At 53.5% G+C, this 15,741-nt stretch overlaps 1 protein-coding gene across 1 annotated transcript in view, besides 1 other annotated feature; it reads left to right on the forward strand.

Annotated features, from left to right (window-relative positions):
• The window catches only part of PRR12 (proline rich 12), a 35,258-nt gene extending 27,463 nt beyond the window's left edge, over positions 1 to 7,795 (forward strand). The window contains exons 10-14 of the mRNA NM_020719.3: positions 1,708 to 1,833; positions 2,881 to 2,978; positions 6,200 to 6,346; positions 6,461 to 6,556; positions 6,817 to 7,795. Coding sequence (NP_065770.1) covers positions 1,708 to 1,833; positions 2,881 to 2,978; positions 6,200 to 6,346; positions 6,461 to 6,556; positions 6,817 to 6,963 — 614 coding nt within the window. The 3' untranslated portion in view covers positions 6,964 to 7,795. The remainder of the gene's footprint in view (positions 1 to 1,707; positions 1,834 to 2,880; positions 2,979 to 6,199; positions 6,347 to 6,460; positions 6,557 to 6,816) is intronic.
• Positions 13,932 to 14,431: an enhancer, noted in NCBI's record as "H3K4me1 hESC enhancer chr19:50135833-50136332 (GRCh37/hg19 assembly coordinates)". NCBI's record gives its function as "activates a minimal SCP1, AML or CMV promoter by ChIP-STARR-seq in naive H9 embryonic stem cells {active_cell/tissue: H9 hESC(naive)}" and the evidence as "EXISTENCE:reporter gene assay evidence [ECO:0000049][PMID:30033119]".

The raw sequence follows: 15,741 nt of genomic DNA on the forward strand, positions 1-15,741 counted from the left end.
TCACAAAGTGCTGGGATCACAGGCATGAGCCACTGCACCCGGCCTTCCTCTTTTCTTTTTCTACCTGTCGCCCCCACAGCTGGGCAGCTCCCAGCCCTGTCCGCCCCCATCCCCTCCACCCTTTCCCAGGCCTGCCCAGCTCAGCCTCGTCCTCTGCTTCCAGCCCTGCCCCACCTTCATTCGTTCCTACCTGGTCCATCAGCCTGGACTTCAGCCTCACTCCTCCAGTCTGTCCCCTGCTTGGCTTAGGAGGGATCTTTCTACGCTTACACTCACCCCTTCCCTGCTCTCAGCTCTCTCATGGCTCCCTAGTACCCACCAGAAAAAGCCCTTGCCCTTTCTGCCTGGTGTTGGAGGCCCAGTGTGGTCTGGCCTGCACTGACCTGTGCAATGCCAGCTCCCATCTCGTCCCTCAGCCTTGCCCCTTTATGATCTGACCTCCCTGGATACCCTCTTTTGGAAACCAACAATGCTGCTGCTTTAGACTTACGTGAAGCCACAATTAAGTGCTCTGAGCTATCACTCAAGGCTCAGCCTTTGTTTGATCTTGAACAAGGGTGAGTCTGATGCCTCCTGTGAGTTTTTTTTTTTTTTTTTTTTTTTTTGAGACAGTCTTGCTCTCGTTGCCCAGGCTTATTGCCAGTGCAGTTGTGCGATCTCAGCTCACCGCAACCTCTGCCTCCCGGGTTCAAGCGATTCTCCTGCCTCAGCCTCCCGAGTCGCTGTGATTACAGGCACGCACCACCACACCCGGCTAATTTTGTATTTTTAGTAGAGACAGGGTTTCTCCATGTTGGTCAGGCTGGTCTCGAACTCCCGACCTCAGGTGATCCACTTGCCTTGGCCTCCCAAAGTGGTGGGATTACAGGTGTGAGCCACCATGCCCAGCCCTTTTTTTTTTTTTTTTTTTTTTTGAGACGGAGTTTCGCTCTTGTTGTCCAGGCTGGGGTACAATTGTGCGATCTCGGCTCACCGCAACCTCCGCCTCCCAGGTTCAAGGGATTCTCCTGCCTCAGCCTCCCGAGTGGCTGGGATTACAGGCATGCACCACCATGCCCGGCTAATTTTGTATTTCTTAGTAGAGACGGGGTTTCTCCATGTTGGTCAGGCTGGTCTCCAATTCCCGACCTCAGGTGATCTGCCTGCCTCGGCCTCCCAAAGTGCTGGGATTGCAGGCCACAGCACTTTATGGGCTACAATGCCTGGCTTTTTTTTTTTTTTTTTTTTTTTTTGGAGACGAGTTTCACTCTGTCACCCAGGCTGTGCAATGGCACAATCTTGGCTCACTGCAACCTCCGCCTCCTGGGTTCAAGCCGTCCTACCTCAGCCTTCCGAGTAGCTGGGATTACAGGCGTGTGCCACCACGCCTGGATAATTTTTGTATTTTTAGTAGAGACAGGGTTTTGCCACGCTGGCCAGGCTGGTATCAAACTCCTGACCTTAGGTGATCTGCCTCGGCCTCCCAAAGTGCTGGGATGACAGGCGTGAGCCACTGTGCCTGGCCTTCTCTGAGCTTCTTGCAGTCCCTGTGATTCTGCCACAAGAGCACGTGGCACTGGCGCTTGCCTGTCAATCTTCCCTAGCGGACTTGGACCTCCCAAAAGCAGGGATTTCTCTTCCGGTCCCCAGTGTTGAGAACAGTGTCTGCCACACAGGTGGTCTCAGAGGAAATTGGGATAACGAGCCTGCGTCCTGTCTTTTCTGCAGAGCGGGCAGTACCTGGGCGTCTGCTCAAAACCAGGGCGATGCGGGAGATGTACCGGAGCTACGTGGAGATGTTGGTGAGCACAGCACTTGACCCAGACATGATCCAGGCCCTGGAGGACACGCATGGTGAGCTGAGGCCTGGGGAGGAGGGGGGGGGGCTGACTCGGTCTGAGGGAGCAGGTGCTGAGGGCTTGGACGTGATGTGAGAGAGGAGAGGTTTGGGGTCGGGACTCCTGAGTCTGAGGGAAGAGGAGCTGAGGCCTGGACCTGGGTCTGAGAGAGGAGGGGCTGGGGCCTGGAGTCCTGGGTCTGAGGGAGGAGGTCCCTGGGTCCTAGGGAGAAGAGGCTGGGGGCCTGGACTCCTGGGTCTGAGGGAGAAGAGGCTGGGGGCCTGGACTCCTGGGTCTGAGGGAGGAAGGGCTGGGGGCCTGGACTCCTGGGTCTGAGGGAGGAGGGGCTGGGGGCCTGGACTCCTGGGTTTGAGGGAGGAGGCGCTGGGGGCCTAGACTCCTGGTTCTGAGGGAGGAGAGGCTGGACCTGGACTCCCAGGTCTGAGGAAGGAGGGACTGGACTCCCGGGTCTGAGGAAGGAGGGACTGGGGCCTGGACTCCTGGGTCTGAGGGAGGAGGGACTGGGGCCTGGACTCCTGGGTCTGAGGGAGGAGGGGCTGGGGTCTGGACTCCTGGGTCTGAGGGAGGAGGGGCTGGGGCCTGGACTCCTGGGTCTGAGGGAGGAGGGACTGGGGCCTGGACTCCTGGGTCTGAGGGAGGAGGGGCTGGGGGTCGAGGGCCTGGGGGTCTGGACTCCTGGGTCTGAGGGAGGAGGGGCTGGGGCCTGGACTCCTGGGTCTGAGGGAGGAGGGGCTGGGGGTCTGGACTCTTGGGTCAGAGAGAGGAGGGGCTGGGGGTCTGGACTCCTGGGTCTGAGGGAGGAGCGGCTGGGGGTCTGGACTCCTGGGTCTGAGGGAGGAGCGGCTGGGGGTCTGGACTCCTGGGTCTGAGGGAGGAGGGAGCTGGGGCCTGGACTCCTGGGTCCGAAGGAGGAGGGGGCTGGGGCCTGTACTTTTGTCTCTGAGTGGGAAGGGGATTTGGGGACCCAGACTCCATGACCCCACCTTGGCCCCAGTGCTTTGTGAGGCTGTGGCCTTCCTGATACCATGTCCTCGTCCATCAGACGAGCTGTACCTGCCCCCCATGCGGAAGATAGACGGCCTGCTGAATGAGCACAAGAAGAAAGTCCTGAAGCGGCTGTCGCTAAGCCCAGCCCTGCAGGTGCCTGGGGGTCTGGGCAGGGGGTGTCTGGGGCCCAGGGTCCACATGGAGAAGACATGTACGTGTCGGCCGCTGTTGGCGGGGGTGATCCTTGGAAGGAGATCGTCCTTCTGGGCTCAGATGGGAGAAAAGTTGAGGGCAGGACTGTCAGGAGATCTCTGGGTTCTCAACAGCCATGAAGCCCATGTGGGGAGGAGCTGTGGGCCTTGGGGCAGCAGAGGGGTGGTTGTGAAAGGCTGGGCTGTTGTTTCGGAGAACAAGTGTGCAGCCAAACATAGACTAGGCCTGCACCCAAAGCGGGCACTGGACCGATGGCTTCTTTGTGAGTCCAATGCAGGCTATTAGGATCCCAGGCTTCAGTGTTAAGTCATCTGTATGATTTCCCTTCTGGGATATTCTGGGATGGAATATCAGGGCTCTGAAATCCAGTGTTAAACTGGCTCTGAGGATTCTGGTTGGGATGTTAGTGTGGCACTGAGAATTCCGGGATAGAATGTTAGGGTAACTGAGACTTCTGGAATCGAATGTTATTCTGGCTTTGAGAATTCTGGAAGACTTGCAGTGATTCTGAGAATTCTGGGATGGATTCTAGGCTGGTACTAAGAATTCTGGGATAGGCTATTAGGCTGGTGCTGAGATGGCTGGTGGGAAGTTAGTCTTAGAAAATACGCAGGAAGGCCGGGCACAGTGGCTCACGCCTGTGATCCTAGCACTTTGGGAAGCCAAGGCCGGTAGATGGCCTGAGGTCAAGAGTTCGAGACCACCCTGGCTCTCTCAAAATAAAAAAAAGTGAAACCCCGTCTCTACTCAAAATAAAAAATTAGCTGGGCGTGGTGGTGGGCACCTGTAGTCTTAGCTTCCCTGGAGGCTGAGGCAGGAGAATCAGTTGAACCCAGGAGGTGGAGCTTGCAGTGAGCCAAGATGGTACCACTGCACTCCAGCCTGGGCGACAGAGCAAGACTGTCTCCAAAAAAGAAAAAAAAAACAGGCCAGGCGCGGTGGCTCACGCCTGTAATCCCAGCAGTTTGGGAGGCCAAGACGGATGGATCACGAGGTCAGGAGATCGAGACCATCCTGACTAACACAGTGAAACCCCGTCTCTACTGAAAATACAAAAAAATTAGCTGGGCGTGGTGGCGGGCGCCTGTAGTCCCAGCTACTCAGGAGGCTGAGGCAGGAGAAAGGCGTGAACCCGGGAGGCGGAGCTTGCAGTGAGGCGAGATCGTGCCACTGCACTCCAGCCTGGGCGACAGAGCGAGACTCTGTCTCAAAAAAAAAACAAAAACATATATATATATATATATATAGAGAGAGAGAGAGAGAGAGAGAGAGAGAAAGAGAGAGAGAGAGAGATATTAATATGACTGAGAATTTTGAGTGAGATAGTAGTTTTCTCAGAATGATGGGTGGGACGTTGGGATGACCGAGAATTCTGGAATGGATTCTTAGACTGGTGTGGAGAAATCTAAGCTGGAATGTTATGCTGACTCTGAAAATTCGTGGGTAGAGTGCTGGGTGGGTTGGAAAATTCTGGGTAGCATTAGGTTATAAAAACTCTGGAGGATATGAATCTAGTCTACAAATTCTGAGATGGATTGTTAGGCTGGCACTGAGGATTGTGGGTGAGATGTTACACTAGGGTAGATAATCCCAGTGTAGGATATTAGAGTAGGTCTGAGAAGTATGTGTTATTAGTCGGGAGTTAGAATTCTGGGATAGATGGCTGGGCGCGGAGGCTCATGTTGGTAATCCCAGCACTCTAGGAGGCTAAGGGAGGTGGATCACGAGGTCAGGAGACCAATAACAACCCATCCTGGCTAACATGGTGAAACCCCGTCTCTACTAAAAATACACAAAAAATTAGCCGGGTGTGGTGGTGGGTGCCTGTAGTCCCAGCTACTCGCGAGGCTGAGGCAGAATAATGGTGTGAACCCGGGAGGCGGAGCTTGCAGTGAGCCAAGGTCGCGCCACTGCACTCCAGCCTGGGCGACAGAGCGAGACTTTGTCTTAAAAAAAAAAAAAAAAGAATTCTGGGGTAGATGGGATGGTTAGGATAGGGCTGAGAATTCTGGGATAGATGGTTAGGATGGGGCCAATAATTCTGGGATAGATGGTTAGGATGGGGCCGAGAATTCTGGGGTAGGTGGTTAGGATGGGGCCGAGAATTCTGGGGTAGATGGTTAGGATGGGGCTGGGAATTCTGGGATAGCTGGTTAGGATGGGGCTGGGAATTCTGGGGTAGGTGGTTAGGATGGGGCTGGGAATTCTGGGATAGCTGGTTAGGATGGGGCTGGGAATTCTGGGGTAGGTGGTTAGGATGGGGCTGGGAATTCTGGGGTGGGTGGTTAGGATGGGGCCAGGAATTCTGGGGTGGGTGGTTAGGATGAGACCGAGAATTCTGGGGTAGGTGGTTAGGATGGGACTGAGAATTCTGAGGTAGGTGGTTAGGATGGGGCCAAGAATTCTGGGGTAGGTGGTTAGGATGGGACCGAGAATTCTGGGGTAGGTGGTTAGGATGGGACCGAGAATTCTGGGGTAGGTGGTTACGATGGGGCTGAGAATTCTGGGATAGGATAGGTGGTTAGGATGAGACTGAGAATTCTGGGGTAGGTGGTTAGGATGGGGCCGAGCATTCAGGGATAGGTGGTTAGGATGGGGCTGAGAATTCTGGGGTAGGTGGTTAGGATGGTGCTGAGAATTCTGGGGTAGGTGGTTAGGATGGTGCTGAGAATTCTGGGATAGGTGGTTAGGATGGGGCTGAGAATTCTGGGATAGATAGTTAGGATGGGGCTGAGAATTCTGGGGTAGGTGGTTAGGATGGTGCTGAAAATTTTGGGGTAGGTGGTTAGGATGGGGCTGGGAATTCTGGGGTAGGTGGTTAGGATGGGGCTGAGAATTCTGGGATAGATGGTTAGGATGGGGCTGGGAATTCTGGGATAGATGGTTAGGATGGGGCTGGGAATTCTGGGGTAGATGGTTAGGATGGGGCTGGGAATTCTGGGGTAGAATTTTGGGTGACATTGAGAATCTGAGCCAGGCCAGAAGGCACAGTGGAAGCATCACTGGTCAGGCCCAGCCTCCTCTGTCCTTTGAGGAGACTCTAGTTGTCTCTCCTGATCTGCAGCCTGGGGGAAACTGAGGCACAGATCTGAGACCTGGCTGTTGGGTTTGGGGTTTATGGATCCAGGGCAGCATCCAGCTGACCCATTGGCTTCCCGCAGGATGCTCTGCACACGTTCCCACAGCTGCAAGTGGAGCAGAGTGGGGAGGGCTCTCCGGAAGAGGGGGCTGTGCGGCTGCGGCCTGCTGGGGAACCCTACAACCGCAAGACGCTCAGCAAGCTCAAGAGGAGCGTGGTCAGAGCCCAGGTGGGCACTGGGGCTGGGGCTGGGAGTGGGGAGTGCTGGCGGTATGTGGGAAGGGAGGAGAGGGGCTGCCAAGTGCCGGGCTGGAGGGGCTGAGGCATCTCCACTCCTACCCAGGAGTTCAAGGTTGAGCTGGAAAAGTCGGGATACTATACACTCTACCATTCGCTCCACCACTATAAATACCACACCTTCCTGCGCTGCCGGGACCAGGTGAGCCCCACCCACAGCACCCATCGCCCTGGGATTCCAACCTTTCTGACTTCCTCTTGGGATCTGAGGGTCCAAGCCCAGCCCCATCCTGCCTCAGACCCAAGAGTTCAGGTCCTTCTGTCTTGGACTTAAGAATGCAGCCCCCAGCCCTGGTCTCCCTGGGACACTGACATCTGACACCCCAGGCCCCATGCCCCAGCCCCTTCCCTCCCCAGAGGCCGGTGTGCCACCCTCCCCAGTGCCATGTTTGACCCCTGCAGACCCTGGCCATCGAGGGCGGCGCCGAGGACCTGGGCCAGGAGGAGGTGGTCCAGCAGTGCATGCGGAACCAGCCGTGGCTGGAACAGCTCTTTGACTCCTTCAGTGACCTGCTGGCCCAAGCACAGGCCCACAGCCGCTGCGGGTGACCCCGCCCCAGCTTGTGAGGGGGGCGCCTCCTCCATGAACCGAGAATTGGGACAGAACCGTGTCCTCAGGAGCTAACACCTGGGCTCCATCGCCGGGGAAAGGGGGTCATGGGTCAGGGTGTGTCTGTGCTGCCCCCTCCAGGGCAGGGTTCAAAGTCCGACTCCCCCCCTCTCCCAAGCCCCCTCCACTCCCTCCCCATTCCTCCCACTGTTCGGTGTACAGAGAAATTATTTATATATATGTATAAATGTCTATTTAGTAACGGTTTCCCTCTCCCCTTGCCCCGACCCCCCCTCCACAGCCACAGCCCCCGCCCCCTCCACCTTGTACATAATGTATAGGAAAAGTCTATGTATGGCTGGGGGGGGTGGGGTGGCTTCAGAGAGCTGGGGGACCCCTTCCCCCCAAGTCCCCCCTGCAGGCCAAGATCTTTGCTAAAGGCCATTCCCTCCGCAGGGCATTTGGCGTCGGGTGGGAGGGGAAAACGCATCTTGTTAATTATTTTTAATCTTATTTATTGTACATACCTGGGGCAGGGGCTTGGGGAGGTGGAGGGGGGAGAAGGGTCCCCTCTCTCTGCCCCTCCCACTCCTTTTCTACGGCGATTTGTCTGTGTCTGGCCCCCACCCACTGCCCATCCCCCATTGTTGTCTGGATGTGGTTCTATTTTTTATCGGTCTCCTTTCCCCTCCTCCCCGTTCTCGCCCCCGCCCCACCCCCTGCTCCCACTACCCTTTGTCTCTTGCTCTTTCTTGGGCTTCTGTACAACTCAACTTGTATACACTGTGTACACACAACCAGCCAAACGAAAACCCAACGGCAAACACTTTACCGGCAGGCTGGAGTGCCTCTGTCCTGCGGCGCTGGAGTGGGTGGCAGTGGTAGCAGGGGCAGAGGTTCTGGAACGGGACTTTCCCAGAGCCCTGGGCAGTGGGGGGCCTGAGGCTGGCATATGTTCTGTGTCCCCGCACAGCAGAGTATCCCACCCTGAAATTTAATGACTTCAGACAACAAATATTTATCACTGGGGGGTTTCTTTTGTTTTTTAGCTAAAGACAGGGTCTCGCTCTGTCACCTAGGCTGGAGTGCAGTGGCATGATCATAGCTCACTGCAGCCTCCAACTCCCTGGCTCAAGCGATCCTCCTGCCTCAGCCTCCCAAAGTGACGGGATTACAGGCAAGTGCCACTGTGCCTGGCCCTGTGTTCTTTATGTTACCCAGGCTGGCCTTGAACTTCTGGGCTTAAAAGATCCTCCTGCCCCAGTCTCAAGTAGTTGGCATTACGGGTGCATGCCACTACACCCAGTTCAAATCCTGTAGTGTTTTGTTTTGGTTTTTTTTTTTGAGACAGAGTCTCGCTCTGTCACCCAGCCTGGAGTGCAGTGGTTCGATCTTGGCTCATGCAACCTCAGCCTCCCCGGTTCAAGCGATTCTCCTGCCTCAGCCTCCCAAGTAGCTGGGATTACAGGGGCCTACCACTACATCCAGCAAATTTTTGTATTTTTAGTAGAAACCAGGTTTCACCATGTCGGCCAGGCTGGTCTCGAACTCCTGACCTCAAGTGATCCGCCAGCCTCAGCCTTCCAAAGAGATTACAGGTGTGAGCCACTGCGCCCGGCCTCAAGTCCTGTATTCTTGAATCCAAGTGAGTGGTCCATGGTACAGCACTCTTGGAGTTCCCCAAGCACTTGTATAAATGTAGAATCGGCACAGGCAGCAGACGAGGAGAGGGCAGGTTGAATAGGGCTGTTTCTCCTCCTCCCACCCTTAAAGGAAAAGATGTAGAATCTCAGGCTGTTGCTCTGGTCTACTTGATCAGAACCCACTTTTTAGTAAAATGCCGAGAGGATTCTCAAGCACATTCAAGTTTGAAGAACCGTGTTCTAGAACAAGAATGTTAAAAATGTGCAGGTTGGCTGGGCACGGTGGCTCACGGCTATAATCCCAGCACTGTGGGAGGCCGGGGCGGGGGGATCACTTGAGGTCAGGAGTTCGAGACCGGCCTGACCAACATGGTGAAACCCCGTCTCTACTAAAAATACAAAAATCAGCCAGGCGTGGTGGCGTGCGTCTATAATCCCAGCTACATGGGAGGCTGAGGCTGAGGCAGGAGAATCGCTTGAATCCAGGGGGCGGAGGTTGCAGTGAGTTGAGATCGTGCCATTGCACCACTCCAGCCTGGCTGACAGAGCGAGACTCCATCTCAAAAAATAAAAAATGTGGAGGTCAACTGGCAATATTTTAGAACCCAGTCTATGAAGCAGTGAACAGGCTGTTGTCATTCTAGAGCCTGGATGGATGGACCACTGGTGTTCCAGAACCCTGGCTTAGTCCGTGGGTAGGGACCCAGTGTGAGATTTGAGGGTGGAACATCAGCATTCCAGATGCCCTTTTAGGTGAGATTCAGGGAGAACCCTCATCGTTCTAGAACCTTGAGTATTGTTCCAGGGGTGTCCAAGGAGAGAATACAGTCATGGGTTCTTAGTTTCTGTTGTACCAGTAAAGCCCCTTCCTCATCCCTCTTTTTTGTTTATTACTAGAGACAGAAACTAAAAACCATGGCTTCAGGCTGCTAAAAGCCTAAAACAAAACAGAACAACAACAAAATAAGGTGGGTTGGACAAATCTGGACTCTAGACCATCACATGTTACAGATTTTTTTTTTTTTTTTTTTTTTTTTGACGGAATCTCGATCTGTTGCCCAGGCTGGAGTGCAGTGGCGCAATCTCGGCTCACTGCAAGCTCCGCGTCCAGGGTTCCTGCCATTCTCCTGCCTCAGCCTCCCAAGTAGCTGGGACTACAGGCGCCCACCACCATGCCCGACTAATTTTTTTTTTTTTGTATTTTTAGTAGAGATGGGGTTTCACTGTGTTAGCCAGGATGGTCTCAATCTCCTGACCTCGTGATCCGCCTGCCTCGGCCTCCCAAAGTGCTGGGATTACAGGCAAGAGCCATCGTGCCTGGCCACATGTTACAGATTTTAGATCCTGGTTTCAGACTAGAGGATGGATAGTAGCATTTGAGAACCATAATGGGTGAGTCAACAATAGACCATGAAGCCAGGCGTGGTGGCTCACGGTTGTAATCCCAGCACTTTGGGAGGTGGAGATGAGCGGATCACCTGAGGTCAGGAGTTTGAGACCGGCCTGGCCAGCATGGTAAAAACCTTCTTTTTTTTTTTTTTGAGACGGAGTCTCCCTCTGTTTCCCAGGCTGGAGTGCAGTGGCACTATCTTGACTCACTGCAACCTCCGCCTCCCAAGTTCAAGCGATTGTCCTGCCTCTGCCTTGTGAGTAGCTGGGATAACAGGTGCATGCCACCACTCCCGGCTAATTTTTGTATTTTTAGTAGAGACAGGGTTTCACCATGTTGATCAGGCTGGTCTCGAACTCCTGACCTCATGATCTGCCCTTCTTGGCCTCCCAAAGTGCTGGGATTACAGGCATGAGCCACTGTGCCCAGCCAACCCTATCTCTCTTAAAATTACAGAAATTAGCCAGGCATAGTGGCTTGTGCCTGCTACTCAGGAGGCTGAGGCAGGAGACTCGCTTGAACCCGGGAGGCTGAGGTTGCAGTGAGCCCAGATCGCGCCACTGCACTCCAGCCTGGGCAACAGAGTGAGACTCCATCTCAAAAAATTTTAAAAAGGATCATGAACTTTCTAGAATCATTGAGTTAAGAGGGCTGAGTACAAACCATTATTGTGCTTGAACTGTGGCCTATAGCATGTGGGGGTGCAGCCTTTGATGGAAAGCCATACATTCAAGGTCCTGGACTAGACTGTCAAACTGAGGCCAAATGCCAGGTGACAGTGGCTCATGCCTATAATCCCAGCACTCTGGGAGGCCAAGGCAGGAGGATTGCTTGAGTCCAGCCTGGGCAACATGGCGAGATCCTCATGTCTCCAGAAAAAAAAAAAAGCTAAAATTGAGGCCAAAGGATTGGCATTGTCCCAGGTCAGAGTTCCAGGATGGAAAACGGGTGGAGTATTCTTTTTCTTTTTTCTTTTTGAGACAGAGTCTCGCTTTGTTACCCAAGCTTGGGTGCAGTGGCATGATCTTGGCTCACTGCAACCTCCGCCTCCTGGGTTCAAGCCATTCTTCTGCCTCAAGCTTCCTGAGTAACTGGGACTACAGGCACGTGCCACCAGGTCCAATTAATTTTTGTGTTTTTAGTAGTGACGGGATTTCACCATGTTGGCCAGGATGGTCTCTAACTCCTGATCTCAGGTACTCCACCCGCCCTGGCCTCCCAAAGTGCTGGGATTGATTAGAGGTATGAGCCACCGCGCTCGGCCGGGAGTGGAGTGTTGTGAGCGTGGACAGTGAGGTCAGGAATCATCCCTTTAGGGACAGAATCACCTTGTGGTTGGCCTTTGGCATCCAGCTGCCCAGATTAGAATCCCAGCTGCAGCACTAACCAGGCAGATTGGGTAACAGACCCCATCTTCACCTTTGCCATCCATTAAATGGGCTTTTGTCAAAATGAAGGAAGACAACCGGTTTGGAGCACCTGGCCTGCAGCTCCTGTGACCTGTAGCAGGAGATCTAGAGAAGCTTAACAGAGGTCCACAACATGACAGAAAACAAAGAGACACAGAGAAAGATAAAGATGGGGACATTGGCCGGGCGTGGTGGCTCACACCTGTAATCCCAGCACTTTGGGAGGCCAACGTGGATGGATCACCTGAGGTCAGGATTTCGAGACCAGCCTGGCCAGCATGGTGAAACCCTGCCTCTACTAAAAATACAAAAATTTGTCGGGTATGGCCGGGCACAGTGGCTTATGCCTGTAATCCCAGCAAATTGGGAGGCCAAGGTGGGACGATCATCTGAGGTCGGAAGTTCAAGACCAGCCTGACCAACATGGAGAAACCCCGTCTCTACTGAAAATACAAAATCAGCCGGGGTGGTGCGCATGCCTGTAATCCCAGCTACTCAGGAGGCTGAGGCAGGAGAATCGCTTGAACCCGGGAGGCGGAGGTTGCGGTGAGCCGAGATCGCGCCATTGCACTGCAGCCTGGGCAACAAGAGTGAAACACTGTCTCAAAAAAAAAAAAAAAAAAAAATTTAGTCGGGCATGCTTGCCGGTGCCTGTCATCCCAGCTACTTGGGAGGCTGAGGCAGAAGAATTGCTTGAGTCTGGGAGATGGAAGTTGCAGTGAGCCAAGATCACGCCACTGCACTCCAGCCTGAGCGGCAGAGTGAGACTCCGTCTTGAAAAAAAAAAAAAAAGATGGGGACATCAAAACCTGGAAAGCTTTAGAATCGTTGCTAGGGCCTGCCAGAGCTCAGGGGAGGGGAGGAACCGAATACATAATTTCTGGCACTAACAGTACCTAGGGAGATGCCAGCCTTTTTGCTGTTGTGTGTTGATCTTTGGGACACTGGTGGCTGTAAACCTTCCAAAAATGGTCTGCCAGTTGTCTTGAGCATTTGGGGGGCAAGCGGTAACTTTAATCACCTTCTCAAAGTGCATCTTGGTCCTACTAGAAGCAGGGTGCCCCAGCCAAGAAGTTGGCCCCATCGGGCAGTGCAGGAAAGACTCTGATCCTCTGCAGGGGGCATGTGGATGGTGAGATCTGGGAAGAGAGATGTTGGCACAGGACTCCTTCCTGTTGGGGGCTCAGTACCCGCAGCTGGGGCTTAGGTGGAAGTGTCAGAGCTTGTTTGGAAACTGATCAAAACATTGCCCACCCTCTTGCCCCACCACTCCCCATCCAGCAGGGGTGGACCCCTGGTGTGCAGAGTTCCTAGCAGGGAAGAGAGCCAACATGTGACAGTACATCCGAGCTGTACTTTTTCCCAGGGCAGAAGGTTGAGAACAGGCCAAAGATTCTGTGATAATAGAACCCGGAAAGGGATATTTAGCTAATCAGTTTTTTTTTTTTTTTTTTTTTTTTTGAGACAGAGTGTCGCTCTTGTTGCCCAGGCTGGAGTGCAACGGCACGATCTCAGCTCACTGCAACCTCTGCCTCCCGAGTTCAAGCGATTCTCATGCCTCACCCTCCCAAGTAGCTGGGATTACAGGCGCCCGCCACCACACCCGGCTAATTTTTGTAGTTTTAGTAGAGAGGGGGGTTTCACCATGTTGGCAAGGCTGCTCTCGAATTCCTGACCTTAGGTGATTCGCCCGCCTTGCCCTACCAAAGTGCTGGGATTACAGGCGTGAGCCACTGCGCCCAGCCTGCTAATCCGTGTTCTAATCCGGGATACAGAGGGACATTCATGGTTCTGGGGCAGAATGGAGACATGTCAGCCACAGTCATTGATGGTGAGCACTTAGTATGCGCCGGGCTCATTCCTCCTCTGCAATCGTCTCCTTTAGTCTCGTGCTCACCCTGTGAAGTAGCTTTGTACTTACCCCCATTTTACAGATGAGACTGAGGTGGCAGAGCTGGATTTGAATTCAGGCATCCCGGTCACGCAAAGGCCATGCTCCACCCTAGGACTAGGAAGCAGGTTCCAGGGTGGGTGCGAGTAGAGCATTCAGGGATCAGGGGCCTGGGTATAGGGAGCAGATGTTTGACTGCTGATAGGTTTCAGGTGGAGCCTCAAGTTCAGGGCATCGGGACATCTCGGTTGAGGTGTTTTGTTTTGTTTTTGTTTTTTTTGAGATGGACTCTCGCTCTGTCGTCCAGGCTAGAGTGCAGTGGCGCAATCTCGGCTCACTGCAACTCCACCTCCTGGGTTCACACCATTCTTCTGCCTCAGTCTCCTGAGTAGCTGGGACTATAGGCGCCTGCCACCATGCCCAGCTAATTTTTTGTATTTTTAGTAGAGACGGGGTTTCACTGTGTTAGCCAGGATGGTCTCGATCTCCTGACCTTGTGATCCACCCGCCTCAGCCTCCCAAAGTGCTGGGATTACAAGCATGAGCCACCGCGCCCGGCCGGTTGAGGTTTTTAGCCTGGTGTGTTGGGTAGATTTGGGGCTTTAAAGATGGCCGGTCACACAGGCTTGGGAGGTGGGTGGACAGTGGTCTCCAGTTGGCTTCAGCCTTCCAGGGTAGCAAATAGTGGGCAGGACTGCTCCTCCCCCAACCAGAGCTTAGGTTGGATGTGGGAGAGTCCTAAGTGTCCCCAGGCTGGGCATGGTGGATCATGCCTGTAAATCCCAGAGCTTTGGGAGGCCGAGGCAGGAGGATTGCTTAAAGGGAGGAGTTCAAGACCAGCCTGGGCCACATAGCGAGACCCCATCTCTACAACAAAATGAAAAATTAGCCAAGTGTGCACTCGTAGTCCCAGCTACTTGGGAGGCTGAGGCAGGAGGATTGCTTGAGCCCAGGAGGTTGAGGCTACAGAGTTGTGATCACGCGACTGCACTCCAGCCTGGGCAACACAGTGACACCCTGTCTCAAATAAATAAATAAAATGTAAAAAACGAAGTGTTCCTAGGACACAGATGGGCTTTGGGTATCCAGACTGAAGTGTGTCATCCATTTACCCACTGTGGCCTTAAGACACCCAACACTTCTGCTTCTCCCAGGACAGAATAGGGGGTTGGATGGGGGATGTCCACACTGACCCCAAATTGGATTAAGTGTTTAGATTCAGATTTCAGTGCTACTGGGAACTTTCTGAAAATGAGGACTTGCCAGACGGCTGCTTGGACACCATTCCACCCACCTGTCCCTTCTCGATATACATTGAAGGTGAGAGTGGGACAGGCAGGGTTTGTAGCAGTTGCTCCCTGTCTCTATTTTTGTAGACAGAGTCTAGCTCTTGCCCAGGCTGGTCTCAAACTCCTGGCCTCAAGTGATCCACCCATTTCGGTCTCCCAAAGTACTGGGCTTACAAGCGTGAGCTACCACACCCAGCTGAGTTGCTGCCTGTCTCCAATGTCCTAGAACGTTCTATTGGAATGTTCTAGAAAGCACTATCCAATAGCCCACTCAGCAATGATAGGAATGTTGTCTATCTGCCCTATCTATTAAGATAGCCACTAGAGGCTGGGTGCGGTGGCTCACGCCTGTAATCCCAGCCCTTTGGGAGGCCGAGGTGGGCAGATCACTTGAGGCCAGGAGTTCCAGACCAGTCTGGCCAACGTGGCGAAACCCCGTCTCTACCAAAAATACAAAAATTAGCCGGGCATGGTGGCATGCGCCTGTAGTCCCAGGTACTCAGGAGGTTGAGGCAGGAGAATCACTTGAGCCCAGGAAACAGAGGTTGCAGCAACTGGAGATCCTGCCACTGCACTCCAGCCTGGGTGACAGAGCGAGACTCTTGTCTAAAAAAAAAAAAAGTCACTAGCCACATGTGACAACTGAGGTCTTGAAATGTTGATTTGACTGAGGAACTAAGTTTTATTAAAATATTTTTTATTTTGTTGTTGTTGTTGTATTTGAGACGGAGTCTCGCTCTGTTGCACAGGCTAGAGTGCAATGGCACAATCTCGGCTCTCTGCAAACTCCACCTCCCGGGTTCAAGCTATTCTCATGTCTCAGCCTCCTGAGAAGCTGGGATTACAGGCGCCCACCAATGCGCCCGGCTAATTTTCGTATTTTTAATAGAGACAGGGTTTCACCATGTTGGTCAGGTTGGTCTTGAACTCCCGACCTCAGGTGATCCATCCGCGTGGGCCTCCCAAAGTGCTGGGATTACAGGCGTGAGCCATCGCGCCTGGCCTTTATTTTTATTTTTTTTATTTTTTATTTATTTATTTTTTGAGACAGTCTTGCTGTCGCCCAGGCTGGAGTACAGTGGCATCACCTTGGCTCACTGCAATTTCTGTCTCCCAGGCTCAAGCGATCCTCCTACCTCAGCCTCCTGAGTAGCT

Source organism: Homo sapiens, chromosome 19 (assembly GCF_000001405.40).
Source record: "Homo sapiens chromosome 19, GRCh38.p14 Primary Assembly".
NCBI classification, from domain to species: domain Eukaryota; kingdom Metazoa; phylum Chordata; class Mammalia; order Primates; family Hominidae; genus Homo; species Homo sapiens.